Raw genomic sequence first — 17812 nt, 5'->3', positions numbered from 1 at the left:
GCCACTGTAGAGGGCTGGTCCTCCGCTCTGACCTCCTCGTGGAGCCTGGTGGGATGGGTGGGCAGGGGATAGGTGCCAGCTCTCGGCCTTGAGGTGCGGTCCGTCCGCGTGGCAGAGAGGAAACACACAGAAGCGATGGCGGAGATGCCAGGGAGGGCCGGTGTCATGCCTGGATGTGGAGGCTGATGCAGGGGGACTCCCGTGATTCTCGCTTGGTCAGCTGGGTGGATGGTGCTTCCCAGGCTGAGATTCTGGGGTTCTGTGGCCTGAGAGCTGCCTTATTCATGCAGGTGGCCAGGTGTTGTTATTACTCTCTTTACACAGGAGGACCTAAGCTTACTTAGTTGAGTGACTTGCCCTGGCTGCAGCCCCCCTGGGGTTCCACCCTGCTGTGTCAGCCGATGCCAGGGTCAGGCGGGCAGCCCTCCCATGCTGGTGCCTGTGGCCTGGCCCCCAGCTGTCACTCTGCACCAGGACTCCTCCCAAACGGGTTGGAAAGGTTTAGGGCGGGCCCACGGGCAGGCCCGTGCGTGACTTTTCACGCCTTCATCGGTGACCCAGTCAGCGACTGCTCAGTGGTACGGGTTGAACTGTGTCCCCCCCGGAAAGATTGCAGGAGTTCCTCTGAATGTGACCTTATTTGGAAATAGGGTCTTTTGCAGATGTAATGAGTTAAATGAAGTCAGACTGGAGGGGAGCAGGTCCTTAATCCAACCTGACAAGACTGCGTGGCCACCGTTGTGTGCACGTCACGTGCATGGGGAGAAGCAGAGAGGAGCGGCCCAGCTGCTGGCCAAGGACACCAAGGATGGCAGGCGCCTCCACAGGCCGGGAAGGGGATGGAGCAGTCCTAGCCAGGGGCTCAGAGGGAGCAGGCCCAGCCGACACCTTGACTCCGGCTTCCAGCCTCCAGAACTGAGAGAGAATGAGTTCCTGCCGTTTAACCCACACCATTTGTGGTATTTTTTAACAGCCACGGGAAACTAATACACGCAATAAAGGATTAATGAACACGCCTGCACACCGGCGTGGAATTCACTCTTCAGCCACTCTGGCAGGCCTTCCTGGTTGCACAGGAGTGAGGATGTGGTCTCCAGGGGCCTGTGGTTATCTTGTGTGTTGGGAGATAGGGAAGGGAATCCCGGGAGTCACTGCTGGGAGCCTGCTCTTCTGAGTCTCATAATTCTGCCCAAAGGTTGTGATTATGCCCATTTCACAGGCGAGGCAACTGAGGCCCACAGATGTTAAATGCCTTGCCAGGAGACTGCAGGCTTTTCCTCCTTTCTGGTCACCCCAAGCCAAGCCAGGCCTGCCCCCACCCACCTGGCATCACCTCACTGGAGAGCAATGCACATCCTGTTCCTGGAGGCATGTTTTTAGCTGACAGCACGCAGCCTGCAGGCCTAGGTTATCTGCACTATTTGATAACCATAGAGAAAGTGACCATTTGTTCACTTTTTGATCTGAGTTGCTTTTCATAGGCTTTTAAATTTCAAAACGTTTGAATGAAGTACTCTATGAGCTTTTTCATTTCATGTCAGCAATTCTCAAACATCGCCTGGCTTTGTTAACCTGGTCCTTGAGGTAAGATTGAGGGTGGGTGGGCAGGGTATTTTAGAAAACAGCCCTTTTAACTTCATCTGTGATCACTTTTCAGGGCTGTTGCTTAACTGTCCATATGTTGTGTTTCTGTGTAATTGTTTCTGTGCTCCACCGTATGAAGACGGACAGAGGGCTTGCAAAGACAAAAATAAATACGTCTCTTTTTTTTAAGAGTGTGATATTTAAACTTTTTCTATAAAATGGTTTTATCTTACAAACTTTGGCCACAATATCTATACCCCTGCTCCTAGACCAAAGGCCCTGAAAAACTAGGAACTATTTTTTTCTTTTATGTTAATATCTCTGGTCTGGCACAGGCATGGCATGGAGTAGGTTTTGAGAGTCAGTATGGAATCGTGGTGAGAAGTGAGACAGACTGCCTGGGTTTGAATTCCTCGTCTGCTACTGCTACTGAAAAAGTGTGTGACTGTGAACGAGTCGTTTCACCTGTCTGTGGAATGGGGAGAAGAGCATCCTCATCTTTGCCCTCATCTGCATTGTGGAGAGCTGGTTGACTGAAGGAACCAATGAATTGAATCCACAGAAGTCTACTGTGGGCCAATCTTAAGAACCCTCCTAGCTCTGTACTTTGGAAGTCTGTGAAAGTGCAAACTTTTAAATTAAGGGGTAGATTCCTTGGTCAGCTGAAGCGTGGGTGCTTCAGGATGAATCCTGCAGTTAACAGAATTGAGGGAAATTCCAAACCCGCATGGCCAGTCTCCTCCCAGCCCTTACAACAGCACCACAGGCACGGGAATGACTCAGAAAGTGAGTGGCTAGTGAGACAAGAAGAAAGGGTGCTCCATCATGCTCTTTCTTCTAATAGCTGGAAGAACATGATACCCCCAGGTCATCTCTTCACGGGGCTAGAGTAGGCTGCACTGTGTATGCTGGTTTCCAGATGTCCTGTTCTCTTCCCCACTGAACACTAGAGCTTTGGTTTCATGCAGTGTCCCTCCAGAGATAATGTTGTGTGTGTGTCTCTTGTTCTCCTTTTTTACAACACACAACATACGGCACTTACTGTTCTGCACCTTGTTTCTTTCACTTAACAGCATGTCATGGAGATCCTTTCCCTGTGTCTCTAAAGAGCTTCTTCATTGGTTTTTCTCGCCGTGTGGGATTCCTTGGCATGGATGTGCCCTGGTTTCTTTAACCAGACCTCTGCTCATGGGCATTCCAGTTGTGTCCACTCTTTTGCCATCACAGACAATATCATGGAATTAATGTATATATCCATTATTTCCTGTACATGTAGGTACACATATCTGATTAGGTCCTAGTGGAAATCGTGGGTCAATTAGCAGTTCTGATTTTGACGGACATTGACAAATTGTTTATTATCAAGGTTCTATTTTATGCTCCTGGTGCACCATCCCCTCACCTCCATGTATTAACAGGTATTGGATCTGGGCCATTCTTTTGGGTAAAAAATTGTGTCTTGGAGAAGTTTCAATTTGCAGTGCACTTATTATGAGTGTGGTTGAACCTCTTTCCCTTTTCTGTAAATTGTTTGATCATAGCTTTTGTTTCTGTTGCTGGTTTTTAAAGCAATTTGTCGGCACTCCTTATGTATTACAGAAATAAGCTCTGTTATGAATGAATGGAGTGTATTTCTTCCCAGTGTGTCATTAGCCTTTTGATTTTGCTCATGGCAGTTTCTAGAGATACACATGTTCTTAATTTTTATCTAGGCCATTTTATCAGTCTTTTCTCTTATGGTTCCTGGATTAGAAAGATTCTCATCACTGCAAACTTCCAAAAGCTTTTTCTCCTGGTTTCTCTTAGACCAGTTTATGGTCTCAGGTTTGCCTTTAAACTCTGATCTGCTTGGAATATGTCCGTGTAAAGTAGGAAATGTGAATCCAGTTTCATTGTTTCAGGTGGCTTCTCAGTTGTTTCAACTGATAATTGAATATTCCATATATTTCCCCTATTAGTTTGCAGTATCACCTTCCTCATAAATTAAATTCTTGTCCACAGTTTTGTCTACTTTTGGACATTTTATTTTGTTCCATTGATCTGTCTATTCATGTGTCAATGTCACCCTTTTAATTACCTAGACTTTATAATACATCGTGGTATCTGATAGGACTTATCCTCCCTTGTTACTTATTTTTCTTTTTGGAATTTTTCTAGCTACTTTTGCATTTTTAGCTTTCCATATGAACTTTAGAATAAGTTTGCCCACAAACTTAATTGGTATTTTTTTGTGTGAATTATATTAAATTTATAGATTAACATAAGAATTATTATTTCTATGATGTTTCCTACTGAAAAACGTGAACATGAAATGCATCTCCACTGTTTCAAATCTTACTTTTCATCTCTTAGGAGATTGAAACTTTTCTTTCATGTAGATATTATAAGTCTTAAATTTATTTCTAGGTATCTTGTATTTTAGAATAAAATAGTCTAGACTGTGAAAGAAATAGGATGTTTTCTTTCTTTAGATCTAATCACTGGCTGTTGTCTTTACCATAGGAAAACTATTGATTTCCGTGTTAATTTTTTTTTTTTTTTTTTTTGAGATGGAGTTTCGCTCTGTCGCCCAGGCTCTAGTGCAGTGATGAGATCTCGGCTCACTGCAACCTCTGCCTCCCGGGTTCAAGCAATTTTCCTGCCTCAGGCCCCCGAGTAGCTGAGATTACTTATGTGCCTACCACACACCCAGCTAATTTTTATATTTTTAATAGAGACAGGGTTTCACCATGTTGGCCAGGCTGATCTTAAACTCCTGACCTCAAGTAATCTGCATGCCTTGGGCTCTCAAAGTGCTGGGATTACAGGTGTGAGCCACCGTGCCCAGCCTGTATTAATTTTTTAATGTGACCATATTACTAAATTCTTTCATTGCTTCTTATTCTCTTAGGATTTCTAGAGATCAGAGTGTTTGGGGTAAAATTCAAATAGTAAAGGAATATGGGAAATAATTGTACTGATTAAGAAAATTAGAAGTTAAATGATCTTATGTTTCTCCTCTAGGGGGTTTTGTCTTGAAAATACCAGTTCTTAAAATGTAAATAATTGTTCGATAGATTTAAAGTTTTCCCTCTTTTCCACTTTTTTAACAGGAAAGCTTGCTTTGAAAACAAAGTCCTTTTTAATAGAAGTTGATAATTGAGTTCTGCAAGGATTTAGTTTTAATAACATAGAGACCTATAATTCTTTATTCTATTTGTGCTGAGAATTAACCTTGACTTAAGTAGTACGTTCTTAGAAATAATTTAGAGATAGAAAGAAAAAGTTGCTAACTTAGGGCTAGTACCCAGCACAGGGTAAGGGGAGGAGCCCTGAACTGGGTGTTCTTATCCTGGCTCTGTCTGCAGTTCATGATAACGTTGCCCACTTTCTTGGGCCTTGGTTTCTCCATCTGTAAAACAGGACAAATGGTCCCTACCTCCCAGGCTGTTGTGAGGAATTAAGTGAGATAATACATGGAGAGAGCACCTAGTCTACTGCATGGCACGAGTTTGATATTCAACAAAAGCTGGCTATTGTTACTATTAACATGTCTGTTAATTTCAGCCACCCATGGTGTGTTAGGATTCAGGTTGGGCTGCTATGACAGAGACCTCCAGATAGTGAAGCAAGATAGATCTGTTTTCCTCTTTCGTAACAGCACAGACACCGGTGTAGCGGCTCGGAGGCTGTGGACACCCAGCTTACTACTGTTCTGTAGCTCCCTCGTTCTCAGCGTGCGATGTCCTCTCCTGGCCCCCGCTGGCTGCTCCAGCTCCTACTCCTGGGTCATCACTCAGCCTGCAGGAAGCAAGAAAGGAAAGGGCGGGGTGGCACGCACCTTCTCTCAAGAGTGAGCCCGAGAAGGAAGCTGCTCCCATCTGTTCCGCCAACTGCAAGGGAATGTGGGACCAGGAAGGCTTATGCCATCCTAACGTTTTTCTTACCATAGAAGAAGGGGAAAACGATCCTTGCGGACAACCAGCAGTTAGAGCCCTGCTTAGCACCTGGAAACGACACTTCTCACCTACACCAGGTGGCCACATACCTAGGGCTGCTTGCTGGATGGGAGGGCTCAGGGTCTGGCATTATGTTTTATTTCACCATAGGGCCGTGAGGGTATGTAATTCCCACATCTAAATCAGCCTTGTTCCTGCTCCGGGGCTGGCTTTGGAATGCTGCCATTTCATAGTAAACAGGTCCTACAGTGACAAGGTGTCACCTGGAATCTGGTATCTGAACTTGCTGAGGTGTGGCAGACACTGTTAATGGAGGTCAGGTGTTGTTCTTCTGCGCCGGGTATACGGTCAGCAGATGGCTACTAGACCAACGTGGGTGAAAGGGGCATTTGGACACAACGCGTGAAGTCCAGTTCCTGTCACTTACTAACCGGCGCTGGATGCCACTCAGTGCCCATGCCTTGTCTCTAGAGCTCTGCAAAAGGGTGCTTTGTGTATAATTTTCTCAGAAACATACGAGACCAGACAACAAAAGCTCTGCTGTGTCTCGGGCCACTTCTCTAATTAGGAAAAATAGTAAAAAGGTGGGGTGGGGTGGGGGAGGTGCGGCATCGTTGGAGGTTGAAAGCTGTGTTTAGTCCGGGACAGTTCTACCTTTAATTATCCTGTCTGAGGTGACTTTAATGAGCATTATTTTTAATGCCTTCATTTAGGGGGGTGGGGGGAATGCTTTTTGCATCCAACCATAGAAAACAGCTTTATTCATGAGGCTTGAAGGACAGCGTCGTTGCTGTCGGGTTTGTAGTGGTTGTGAGCGAGAAACCTCTCGGTTTGTAGCGGCTCTGAGCCAGAAACCTCTTATCAGAGTCATGACCAGAAGGCGAATGGCCAGTTACTATCAGGGAACCACAGGGTTCAGGCTGGCTGGGGTGCCTGCTTCCCATGACCATTTCCCAGCGGCAGACGTGGGGGAAGACAGGGCCAGACACAGGGCAGGCAGGGTTGGCCTCCCAGGGGCCTCCCAGTTCCTCTGATAGCATCTCAGTCCACTTGGGCTGCCATAACAAAGATAACTTAGACTGGGTAATTTATACACAATGGAAATATATTTCTCATAATTCTGGCCTGTAATCCCAGCTACTTGGGAAGCTGAGGTGAGAGGATTGCTTGAGCTTAAGAGTTGGAGGCTGCAGTGAACTCTGATCGTAACACTGCACTCCAGCCTGGGTGACAGAGGGAGACCCCATCTCTAATCCATTATTTTATTTTATATATATTTTTAAATTATTTTAAAAAGAAAAAAGAAATGAACCTAAGTGACAAAAAAGCATGGTTTATTTAAAAAAAAAAAAAACTTTATTTCTTACAGTTCTGAAGGCTGGGAAGTCCAAGATCAAGGTGCAAGCAGATTCAGTGTTTCTGAGGGCTGATCCTCGTGGGGTGAGGTTTATGAGGGTGCTGCTAGGGTTTGAACGTGTTCTCCAGACTTCATGTGTGGGAAACTTGATCTCCAGTGCAGCAGTATACGGAAGTGGAGCCTAATGGGACGTATTTGGGTCTTGGGGGCACTGCCCTCATGAATGGATTAATGCCATTATTGCTGGAGTGGGTTCATAATAAAAGGATGAGTTTGGTCCCTTCTTGCTCTCTCTCTCACCTTGTAATGCCTTCGACCAGCTTATGATGCTGCAGGAAGGCCCTTGCCAGATGCTAGGTCCTCGATCTTGGAATTCCAAGCCTCCAGAACTATGAGCCAAATAAATTTCTGTTCCTTACAAATGACCCAGTCTCGGGTATTCTGTTATGGCAGAACAAAACGGACTGCGACTAGCACTAACAGAACAAAACGGACTGCGACTAGCACTAACAGAACAAAACGGACTGCGACTAGCACTAACAGAACAAAACGGACTGCGACTAGCACTAACAGAACAAAACGGACTGCGACTAGCACTAACAGAACAAAACGGACTGCGACTAGCACTAACAGAACAAAACGGACTGCGACTAGCACTAACAGAACAAAACGGACTGCGACTAGCACTAACAGAACAAAACGGACTGCGACTAGCACTAACAGAACAAAACGGACTGCGACTAGCACTAACAGAACAAAACGGACTGCGACTAGCACTAACAGAACAAAACGGACTGTGACTAGCACTAATCCCGTTCACGAGGGGAGAGCCCTCATGACCTAATCTAAGCACCCCCACCTCTCAATACTGTCGCATTGGGGGTAACAATATGAATTTTGGGGGAGCACCAACACTCAGACCCTCGAGTGTGGGTTCCTCCTGACATGCCATGAAATCTCTGTTCATGCTCCAAGTTAAGGCATCATTATCAGCTCATTGCCCCAACCAGAAACGGGAGTCAGCCCCTTTAAACCTGCCAACCCCCACATTCCAAAGGTCCCTGCCAGCCTAGGCAGTACTCTACCAGCCTTACTTCACACCCTTCATATTCTCCTCCTTCCAACAGATTCTCCATCTTGCGGTCTAATTTACTTTTTCTTCTTTTTCTCTTCCAGATATGGTCACATGTAGCTTAACAACTGGGATGCATTCTGAGTAATGCATCAGTAGGCAATTTTGTCATTGTGTGGACATCAGCGAGTGTACTCACAAGCCTAGATGTTAGAACCTACTACACACCTAGGCTGTGTGGTACAGCCTGTTGCCCCAGGCTACAAACCTTAACAGTATGTTACTGTACTGAACACTGCAGGCAGTTGTAACACAATGGTTAGTATGTGTATATCTAAACACACCTAAACATAGAAAAAGTGCAGTAAAAATATGGTATTATAATCTTAAGGGACCACTGCCGTATATGCGTCATTGACCCAAATGTTATGTGGCACATGACTGTATAATGTTTCTAAAGAATAAAGGTGGTTGGGCACTTTGGAAGGCCGAGGTGGGCATATCACTTGAGGTCAGGAGTTCAAGACCAGCCTGGCCAATATGGTGAAACCCCATCTCTACTAAAAATACAAAAATTAGCCTGGTGTGGTGGTGCACACCTGTAATCCCAGCTACTCGGGAGGCTGAGGCAGGAGAGTCGCTTGAACCTGGGAGATGGAGGTTGCAGTGAGCTGAGATTGTACCTCTGCACTCCAGCCTGGGTGACAGAGCAAGACTCCATCTCAGAAAAAAAAAAATAATAATAAAAAAAGAATAAAGGTAATATAGCTGCATTTGGAAAACAGAAATAAGGAAGATATAATCACGTGTAATTCTATGTCCTAACAGCCATCATTACTTTTTATGTTTCCTTTTGGTGTTTCTTAACTATGAGCATGATTTATTCTCATAATTAGAGTTTATAAACAATCATTTTCTCTTGGTTTTCTCTCAACCTGTTAAGGCTTTTCCTAAAAATTCTCTTGAGTCATTCAGTAGGTGTGTACTATTTAACCACCCTTCTGTTATACCATGGTTAGCTTCTAATTTTTCACCTTTACAAGCAGTATTGCAGTGAACATTTTCATGTGCATAACTGTTTCAGTATTTTGAACTGTATTTCTTTGGGATAGATTCACAAGGTCATAAAACATGAAGTTTTGTTGCAAAATTGGTGATCAGATGTTTAGGGCATTTCATAGTGCTGTCAGCAATGTTTAAAAATGTCAGACTTCATAGTATCTATGACAGCGGTGGCTATCATTTTTCTGATTTTTTTTCTCCTGTTTTGAAAATGTATATAGAAAAAAAATTTTTTCTCCTAATGAAAGAAGTAATACAAGCTTGTTGTATAAAATTTAGAGAAGCCAAAAGAAAATTAAAATCAACTATATAATCTTGCTTTTTCTGTGTGATAAACACTGGTAATATTATGGGCTGTATCCTATCTGAATTTTTAAAAATATGTATATATAATTTCTTTTCCTTTTATTCTTTCTTTCCTTTTTCTGTTTATTTCTTTTGTTAAATTGAATAACATTATTTTTCATGTAGTTTTATGCTTGTGTGAACATCTTTTTAGGATATTAAATATTTTTCACAAAATTCCCCATTTGTACAAATTTAGATTATTTTCAGTTTTTGCTATTTTAATTAATATTGTATGACCATGTTTATAGCTACATCTTTGCACATTTTAAAGCTCTTCTATTTAAGAACGCCCCTGTACTGGGTGTTATAATGTGTTTAAAAATATATATATATGGAAATTTTTTGATTAAAAAAATTTTCTTGTTTAATTTGAATTAACGTAATTAAAGAGGTGGCAGACTTTTTATATGCTACTAGACAGTCATAGTTATTTTGCTAATTATTTGTGTAACTTTTTTCTCTTTTACATCAGACATTTCAGCCCCTTCCAGGTGATAAGGAAAAGATTTTTACACATGGAAGATATTAATCTTTTGTCTTGAATATATATTGCAAAATGGTTTTCAGTTTCTCAGCTGCCTTTCAATTTCACTTAATCTTTTTTTTTATTTTTTGATTCTAAACATGTTTCTTCATGGCATCTGTCTTTGGTGTCATATCCTGGAAAGATTCTTTGCCCTCCTAATAGTAGAAATATTTTCTTCTAGTGCTTCTAAGGTTTAATTTTCTGTAGTTAAATATTTAAACTCTCTGTACTTCATCTTTTCGATGTAGTTTCTAATCTACTTTTCCTCTCCAAATAGGTAGCAAGTCGTTCAAAGTGGTGATGTCATAGAAATGACTGGTTGGCTACTTTAGATGTCAACTCTTTTCAGTTTCATATATAAATTTAGTACGATTTCCATCAGAATCGTAATGGGACGCTTTGGGAATTTGACTACATAATTATAAATTTCATCTAGGAGAATAAACATGTACAAATGGCCAAGAAAATTTCAGAAGGGAAAAATTCAAAGGGGAGAGACACTTAGGGCATCTGATATTAAAATATCTTATAAAGCTATAGTAATGATAGTGAAAACAGATGTTACCAGTATAGGAACAAACAAATCAGTGAAACAAAGAAATGTCTGAAACAGACCCCAGTATAAAAAATAATTTAGTACAATGTATCATTATAGTGACATATTTCAAATCACCGGGAAAAGGAAAGATTCTTAAATGAATGATTTTGACTAATTAATGTCGTAAGTTATATTAACAAATTTTATAATATAGAGCCATCCTTGCAATCCTAGAATAAATACTACTTGGATCACATGTATTATTCTTCTAGTCTGTGTTTAAATCAAATTTGCTAATGTTTTGTTTAGGATATTAGGTACTAGCACTAGCCAGGCAATGTTTTTTTTCTCAGAAATAAATAGCAAGTAACATTTATTGAACACACGTGATGTACCAGAGACTTTACTAAGTGCTGTGTATACATTGTGTAGCTTAATCCTCACATGAGGTAAGCTACTGTATTATATTTATATTTCCCCATTTCACCTACGGGGAAAACTAAAGCAGAAAGGGCTTAAAGAACTTGTAGTGTGGGTTTTTTTATTTGTTTGTTTTGTTTTGTTTTCACAAAAAGTCTCACTCTGTCGCCCAGGTTGGAGTGCAGTGGCGCCATCTCAGCTCACTGCAACCTCTACCTCTCAGGTTCAAGCAATTCTCCTGCCTCAGCCTCCTGAGTAGCTGGGATTACAGATGTACACCACCACACCTGGCTAATTTTTTGCATTTTTAGTAGAGACGGCTTTTCACCATCTTGGCCAGGCTGGTTTCGAACTCCTGATCTCAGATGATCTGCCTGCCTTGGCCTCCCAAAGTGCTGGGATTACAGCTGTAAGCCACCACACCCAGTCTTGTCCTGTGTTTTGCCACTAAAGTGCACTGTCTCACCATCTCATGTCATTTGCCTCTCATTTTGAAAATAAGAGACACAGAGGAAAACTCTAATACAAAACTACACATATCCAAAGTAGAAGTTTTAGGAGGAGAGAACAGAGAAAAACAAATATGAAAGAAATAATCAACAGAGTTCCCTGAGTCTTCAGATCAAAAGGCCTCACTGAATATTTGGCAAGATTAATAAAACAGAACTACCTAGATATTTGGGGGGGATGGGATTTGTTGACATTTTCTTTATATCTTGTTTGTTTACTTTTTTATTTTTTATTGAGACAGAATCTTGCTCTGTAACCCCGGCCGTGGTGCAATCACAGCTTACTGCAGCCTTGACCTCCTGGGCTCAAGGGATCCTCCCACCACAACCTCCCAAGTAGCTGGGACTACAGACAGGAATGTGCCACCACACCTGGCTAATTTTTTTATTTTTTGTAGAGGCAGGGTTTCACCATGTTGCCTGGGTTGGTCTCAATCTCCCAGGCTCAAGCGATCCACCTGCCTCAGCCTCCCAAAGTGTTAGGATTACAGGCGTGAGCCTCTGTGCCCAGCCCATTTTCTTTATATCTTAACATAATATATTTTTATAAGTGGCCATATGTTAGATGACAGCATAGTTCAAAATCAGAAATTACATAGGTCCCATTATTTAACCATTAGGGTATACAATCAGGAATAACTAATAAAAAAAAAATGCTTAGAAATTCAAAAATAAGGCCGGGCTCGGTGGCTGACGCCTGTAATCCCAGCAATTTGGGAGGCTGAGGCAGGCGGATCACTTGAGGTCAGGAGTTTGAAACCAGTCTGGCCAACATGGTGAAACCCCGTCTGTACGAAAAAAAAAAATAGCTGGGCATGGTGGCGAGCGCCTGTAATCCCAGCTACTTGGGAGGCTGAGGCACAAGAATCACTTGAACCTGGGAGGCAGAGATTGCAGTGAGCCGAGATCGTGCCTCTGCACTCCAGCCTGGGCAACAGAGCAAGACTCCATCTCAAAAAAGAAACAAAAAACAACAAAAAATTTACAGAACTGGACATCCCCAGAAGAAGAAGATTTTCGTTTTTCGTAACTTTTGAAAACTCTGGCCAGAATCTGAACAAAGAGGAGCTGAGTGGCTGCAAGACATTTGGCCTTTGTGTGTCTGGTCTTGAATCACCTTCCAGAGTAGAAGTCGTTCGGATCCGGTTAGGAAGAGCGCTCGAGGCTCTGAAGTTGCAGCTCACTGAGAAAGTAGGGTTCGTTTCCTGCCTTGAACCAAAGTGGCACATGGTAAGTGTCTTCACATGGGTTCTGCCGCAGTGACTTTAATGGGTTTCAGGGAAACGCTGTAGGTGGGTGGGGTGAGGACGTGCAGGTGCTTCCTCCCACTGAGGACTGCAGGCCACAGAGCTCAAATGAAGGCAGTGGGACAGCGAGACCCCACTGGGACCACACAGATGCACAAGCTGCTTCAAACCTTTCAGGGCCCTTAAATTCCCAGCAACTAAAAGGAAACAGGCCGCCTGGGGTGCTGGAAACCGCCGGCCTGGAGTCAGCCGAAGGTTCGGTGAGACCGTGGGAGGCCACCCTTTGGTGGCTCATTCTCCCCTGCTTGTGAAATAGGGATATGGGAGGGGGGCAGAACAGACCACGGGTTCCCAAGCTGGGCTCTGGAGAGTTCTAAGGGTGGCAGAGGCCCTTCCCCAGCAGGGGTGGCGAGGGGGAGTACAGCAGGTCAGGTCTTGGCGCCTGTGCTCCCTCCAGCCAGAGCTGTTCCACTCCGATTCTTCTCTAGCCTGGCCTCTCCGAGATGCCTTCTGTTTAAAGAGCAGCTTCTGCTGCTTTAAAGTAAGATTTTAATCATCAGGGGACTGAGCGATTTGTGAGGCCCCTTTGGCGCCCTGGGTTTCCCTGAGTCAGCAGGAAGCACGCTGGTGCTCCCCGAATGGCAGACTGGGACCCCAGCTGTCAGGGAGGGAGACGCTCGGGCCTATCATGTTAGATTCATAAAGCTTGCACTCTGGGAAATTGCTTTTGACATGCTCAGGGGTAAAACGTTTCTCAAAAGAAGCTCCACATAATTTAAATGATGACATTTTAAATCATGTGGAGATGGCGGTGATCTTTAAAAAATGTTCCCATCTCAATTTGCAAACCTGTTTGGACAAACCAGTCAAAGGCAATTTTCCTCATGGAATTACCAGCAAACAGAACCTTTCATAAGACTTCTGTGCCTCAGACAGGCCTCTCCCTCTTTCCTGACCACCCACCCATCCCAGCTTTCCTAAGACAAAGAGAGAGAGATGGAGTTCAGACTGTTTTTTTTTTAATCATCTGGGGACCTTGGCCAAGGGGAAGAGGAGAAAGCAGGGGCCAGGCTCGGGGTCTGACCAGGCTGCAGGACTCGGCGTGCGTGGTTTCTCAGTTGGACGTCCCAGAGGGCCAGGCCCGTGGGTGGGGACTCAGGTTGAAAATCAAAGCCTTGGCCAAACAGATGAGGATTTGGGGCAGGGAAACTGAGGCATGAGCCACTGGACCCTCTGCCTGGTCATGCTTAGGCTATGAAGTACACGGTTTCTTCCACAAAACCCCAGTCCTCCTGTTATTGATGACTTGGGGCCCACAGGTTTCCTTCATTGCTGCCATCAGGTTGGGGTTGGTGGGATTCTGAGATCTGGGCAAATGGCACAGAATGTTTAGCCCAAAGACAAGCAGATGAGGTTTGTGGTAGAGCCAAATGCTGATTCTGCCCACCCCGCGTCATCACCCCGCGTCGTCACCCCGTGTCGTCTGTTAGGGGTTCCTTGACTATTTTGTTTGTTTCAAAAGCATGTTTGTGTTTGTCTTTCTCCAAACATCAGGGTGAAATGGGATCTTAAGAACCATTAAGGCAGCCCTTTGAAACTCTAGCCCCGCATCCCCCCATCTCTGTCTTTATAATTTGGGGTCAGCTTCATCAGCAAGCCCCTGTGCGCCTGTACCGAGAGGCCTTGAATTTGGTTTCCGGCTCTGCAGTTGCCCTCTAAAATTCTCAATAGTGTGTGAACAGGGTCCCACACTTTGATTTTGCAAATTACGCAGCCTGTCCCATGTGGAGTTTTAGATTTGAATTATTATTTTATTAGTATTTTTAGGCTATATATCTTCACTCTAAAAAATGCACGTGTATGTATTAGTTTTATAAGTGAGATTTACAGCAGTCATTGAACTTCTTGCAGAGCTTTGCTGCCAGTCTTAACTGTAGGGTGTGGTCTGTCAGCCAACAAACAGCTTTTTAAAGAATGTTTGCATGTTGTGTGAGAGGGAAAAAAATACGACACAAAGGGCCTTTAATCAACATGCTTGCAAAGCCACTCTCACAGAGTAGACGTCTTATTGGGTAATTTCTGGGTCCCAAGCCCCATGCTGACCACAAGGATACAGAGAGAAACAGAGCACAGCCCCTGCCCTCAAGGAGTGCCTTGTCTAGTTGAAATCTGTTTCGTAACTTTCTAAACCTCAAGCCACTCTAAGAAATATGCAACCCAGAATTCAGTACACATAGAGATAATACACACATAGAAAGATGAAACAGTAGGCCGGGCATGGTGGCTCATGCATGTAATCCCTACTTTTTGGGAGGCCAAGTAGGGTGGATCACCTGAGGTCAGGAGTCCGAGACCGGCCTGGCCAACATCATGAAGCCCCATCTCTACTAAAAATATAAAAAATTAGCTGGGCATGGTGGCGGGCACCTGTAATCTTAGCTGCTCAGGAAGCTGAGGCAAGAGAATCGCTTGAACCTGGGAGGCAGAGGTTACAGTGAGCCGAGATCTCACCACTGCACTCCAGTCTGGGCAACAAGAGTGAAACTCCATCTCAGAAAAAAAAAAAAAAGAAAGATGAAAACAGTCATCTCATGAAATAAGGTACTTACTGTATACACCGCATTCTCTTTTCTATTGTATTTCATTTTTTAAAATACTGGTTAGAGCACAGTTGATTTCACAACCCATTAGTGTGAGTTTTTAAAGCACTGCTCTAATGAGAGAGATTGATTTTTGCTAAGCATTATCCTAGCGGTGGTGCAGACTTCCAGAGGAAGCGGCATTTGCCCAGAGTGTTGAAGGATGAGATGGAGCTTGCGGTGGAGAAGCTGGCGGTGGTTATGAGGTGAATTCCAGAGGGGGTCATGAGCCTGGAGAGAGTTCCACGGGGCTTGGGTCCTGGGGAGTTGGTCCCGGAAAGGCAAATCTGCAGATGGTGGAGCACATTGGGTGTCCAGCAAGATGCTGTACTCTCTCCTGTGTGAGCCATAGGAAGTGGTTTGTTTTTTTAACAGCTTTATTTGAAATATACCATAAAATTCACCTATTGTAAGTGGACAGGGCCATGATTTTTAGTAAATGTATGGAGTTGTCCAACCACCATCCAGTTTTAGAACATCTCCATCACCCCAAAAAGCGCCCTGGTGCCCATGTCCGTCAATCCCCGTTCCTTCCCCCAGCCCCAGGCAACCACTGATCTGTTTTCTGTCTCTGCAGATTTGTCCTTTCTAGAAACCGTGTACACATGGACTCCTACAATCCAGTCCTTTGTGTCTGGCTTCTGTCACTCAGCGTCGCATTTCTGGGGCTCATCCATGTTGTAGCATGTAGTGGTATTCCATTGATTGGCTACACTGTAGTTTCTCCATTTGCCAGATGATGGATGCTTGGATTGTTTCCAGTTTGGGGCTATTTTGAAGAACGCTTCTATGAGCATTTGCATCTGAGTTGTATGGACGTATGTTTTCATTTCTCCCGGGGAGATCCTAGGAGCGGAGTTGCTGCACTGCATGGTGAACGTATGTTTAACTCTTTAAGAAACTGCCTCGCTGACTTCTGAAGCAGCTGCACCGTGGCGTGTTCCCACCAGCAGCTTATCTCGTGTCTTCACATCTGCTGGAGGATTTGAGCAGAGGAGAGATGTGATGAGACTTGCTCTTCAGAAGATTCCTCCAGCTGCCGGGTGAGGGTCACTGAGAGGGAAAGGAAGAGGCAGGAGGGAGAAGTCTGGGTCCTAGGCTAAAGCTCCGGCTCTGGGTGGACCAGAGACAAGGAGCTGGAGTCCAGGGATGTGTTCAACAGGGTCTGGCATGGAAGGAGCAGGAGCCACAGAGACTTTGGTAACTGGCTCAGCCTCAATCAGCAAGTGGCTGAGAGAGAAAAGATGGAGGTGACTTGGGAGCAAGACTTCCATCTGGACTGCGATGATGGTGCCGGGGCCTCTGGCTCTTGCCTGTCCATGCATCATGCATGGCCAGATCAGCAGTCACATCCCTTCAGAAGGTTCCCACATCCTGTAAGGGGAGTGGCTCCCAGTCCTGGCTGCCCTTTTGAATCACCTGGAAAACTTTAAAATCTGCTGGCTGGGTCCTGATGTAACTGATCTGCGCACAGCCTGGGCATGGAGAGGTTCAAGCTCCCAGGTGATTTGAATGCACACTGGGCTGAGTCAAGCTCTCAGGCGCAGGTGCACACTGGGAGCTCCAGGGGAGTTTTACAAACTACTAAAGTGCTGAGTCCCACCCAGAGCTTTTGGTGCAGTTGGGACAGGGGGAAGCCTGTGCACTAGGAGTTGTAACCTTTCCCCGGGTGATTATAACGCGCAGCCACGTTTGGGGACTGCTGCTTGAAGGCAACTTGTTTGGACCCAAGAGTCAGTTCTGAGCAGATGCTTCTAATGCTAGCATTTCCTAAAAGAGTGTTCTTGATTCTCTCGCTCTTTATAAGTAGACCCAGAAATCTTTTTTTTTTCCTTCTCAATGTACAGATTATTTTTCTGAAGCATTTTATAGTACATGTTGCTAAAAAATAAAACCAGATTCCACTGCACGTGTTCTGTAAACCCATCTGGTTTACATAAAATATTTACAAATGCAGATACAGAGGAATTTCAAGGTATTTTTGGGTAAGGAACCAGCATGTTAGCTGTGTGTTGCCTGCTCTGTGGTCTCCATAGCATATGATACATAAACACCAGTCAGATACAGGGATGAACTGCGTTCCTACAGGTAAAGCGGTTTATTTCACCAGGACCCCAGATCTGGCTGGAAAGCTCACTTATGTTTACTTTTCTTGCCCAGATATTTTCAGATAGTAAATTTAAATAAACAATATGATAGCTCCTACATACCTTTTTTTCCCCCTCCAGGTGTTTGGCATTCTTGCTCATGTAACCCAAGTATCTTTTAACTCTTAAAGCAGTAACTTGAGGAGGGGCCAGAGCTGTGCTTTCAGCTTGATATTGTAAAGTTGGACTGTGTTACCAAGTGCCCTGGTGTCTTCAGTTCTCTAGGTGCTGTCTGTGTTCTTCACACTTAATCCCTTAATTCTTTGGTTTGGACCACAGCAGAGGATCTGAGGATGGGGACAGGTGCCACAGAGGAGCTGTGCCCCTGCACATCTTTGGCCCCAGGTCCTCTTCCAGGGAATTAAGACACATTAGCTGAGATTTTTTTGAGGCCTAAGCAGCAGCCCTGCCTAAACCTCAAGTTT

General features: G+C 44.3%; 1 protein-coding gene and 1 long non-coding RNA gene across 12 annotated transcripts in view; both read left to right on the top strand.

Annotated features, from left to right (window-relative positions):
* Positions 1–17149, top strand: part of LOC124901148 (uncharacterized) — a 34203-nt gene extending 17054 nt beyond the window's left edge. Inside the window, exon 2 of the long non-coding RNA XR_007059080.1 lies at positions 5225–17149. This is a non-coding gene — a long non-coding RNA (uncharacterized LOC124901148). The remainder of the gene's footprint in view (positions 1–5224) is intronic.
* COL23A1 (collagen type XXIII alpha 1 chain) overlaps positions 1–17812 on the top strand; it is a 352776-nt gene that overhangs the window by 134607 nt on the left and 200357 nt on the right. The window lies entirely within an intron of this gene.

The sequence above is a fragment of the Homo sapiens genome, chromosome 5 (genome assembly GCF_000001405.40).
Source record: "Homo sapiens chromosome 5, GRCh38.p14 Primary Assembly".
NCBI classification, from domain to species: Eukaryota; Metazoa; Chordata; class Mammalia; order Primates; family Hominidae; genus Homo; species Homo sapiens.
The sequence above is the reverse complement of the archived record's forward strand: the minus strand, read 5'-3'. Positions and strand labels throughout refer to the sequence as shown.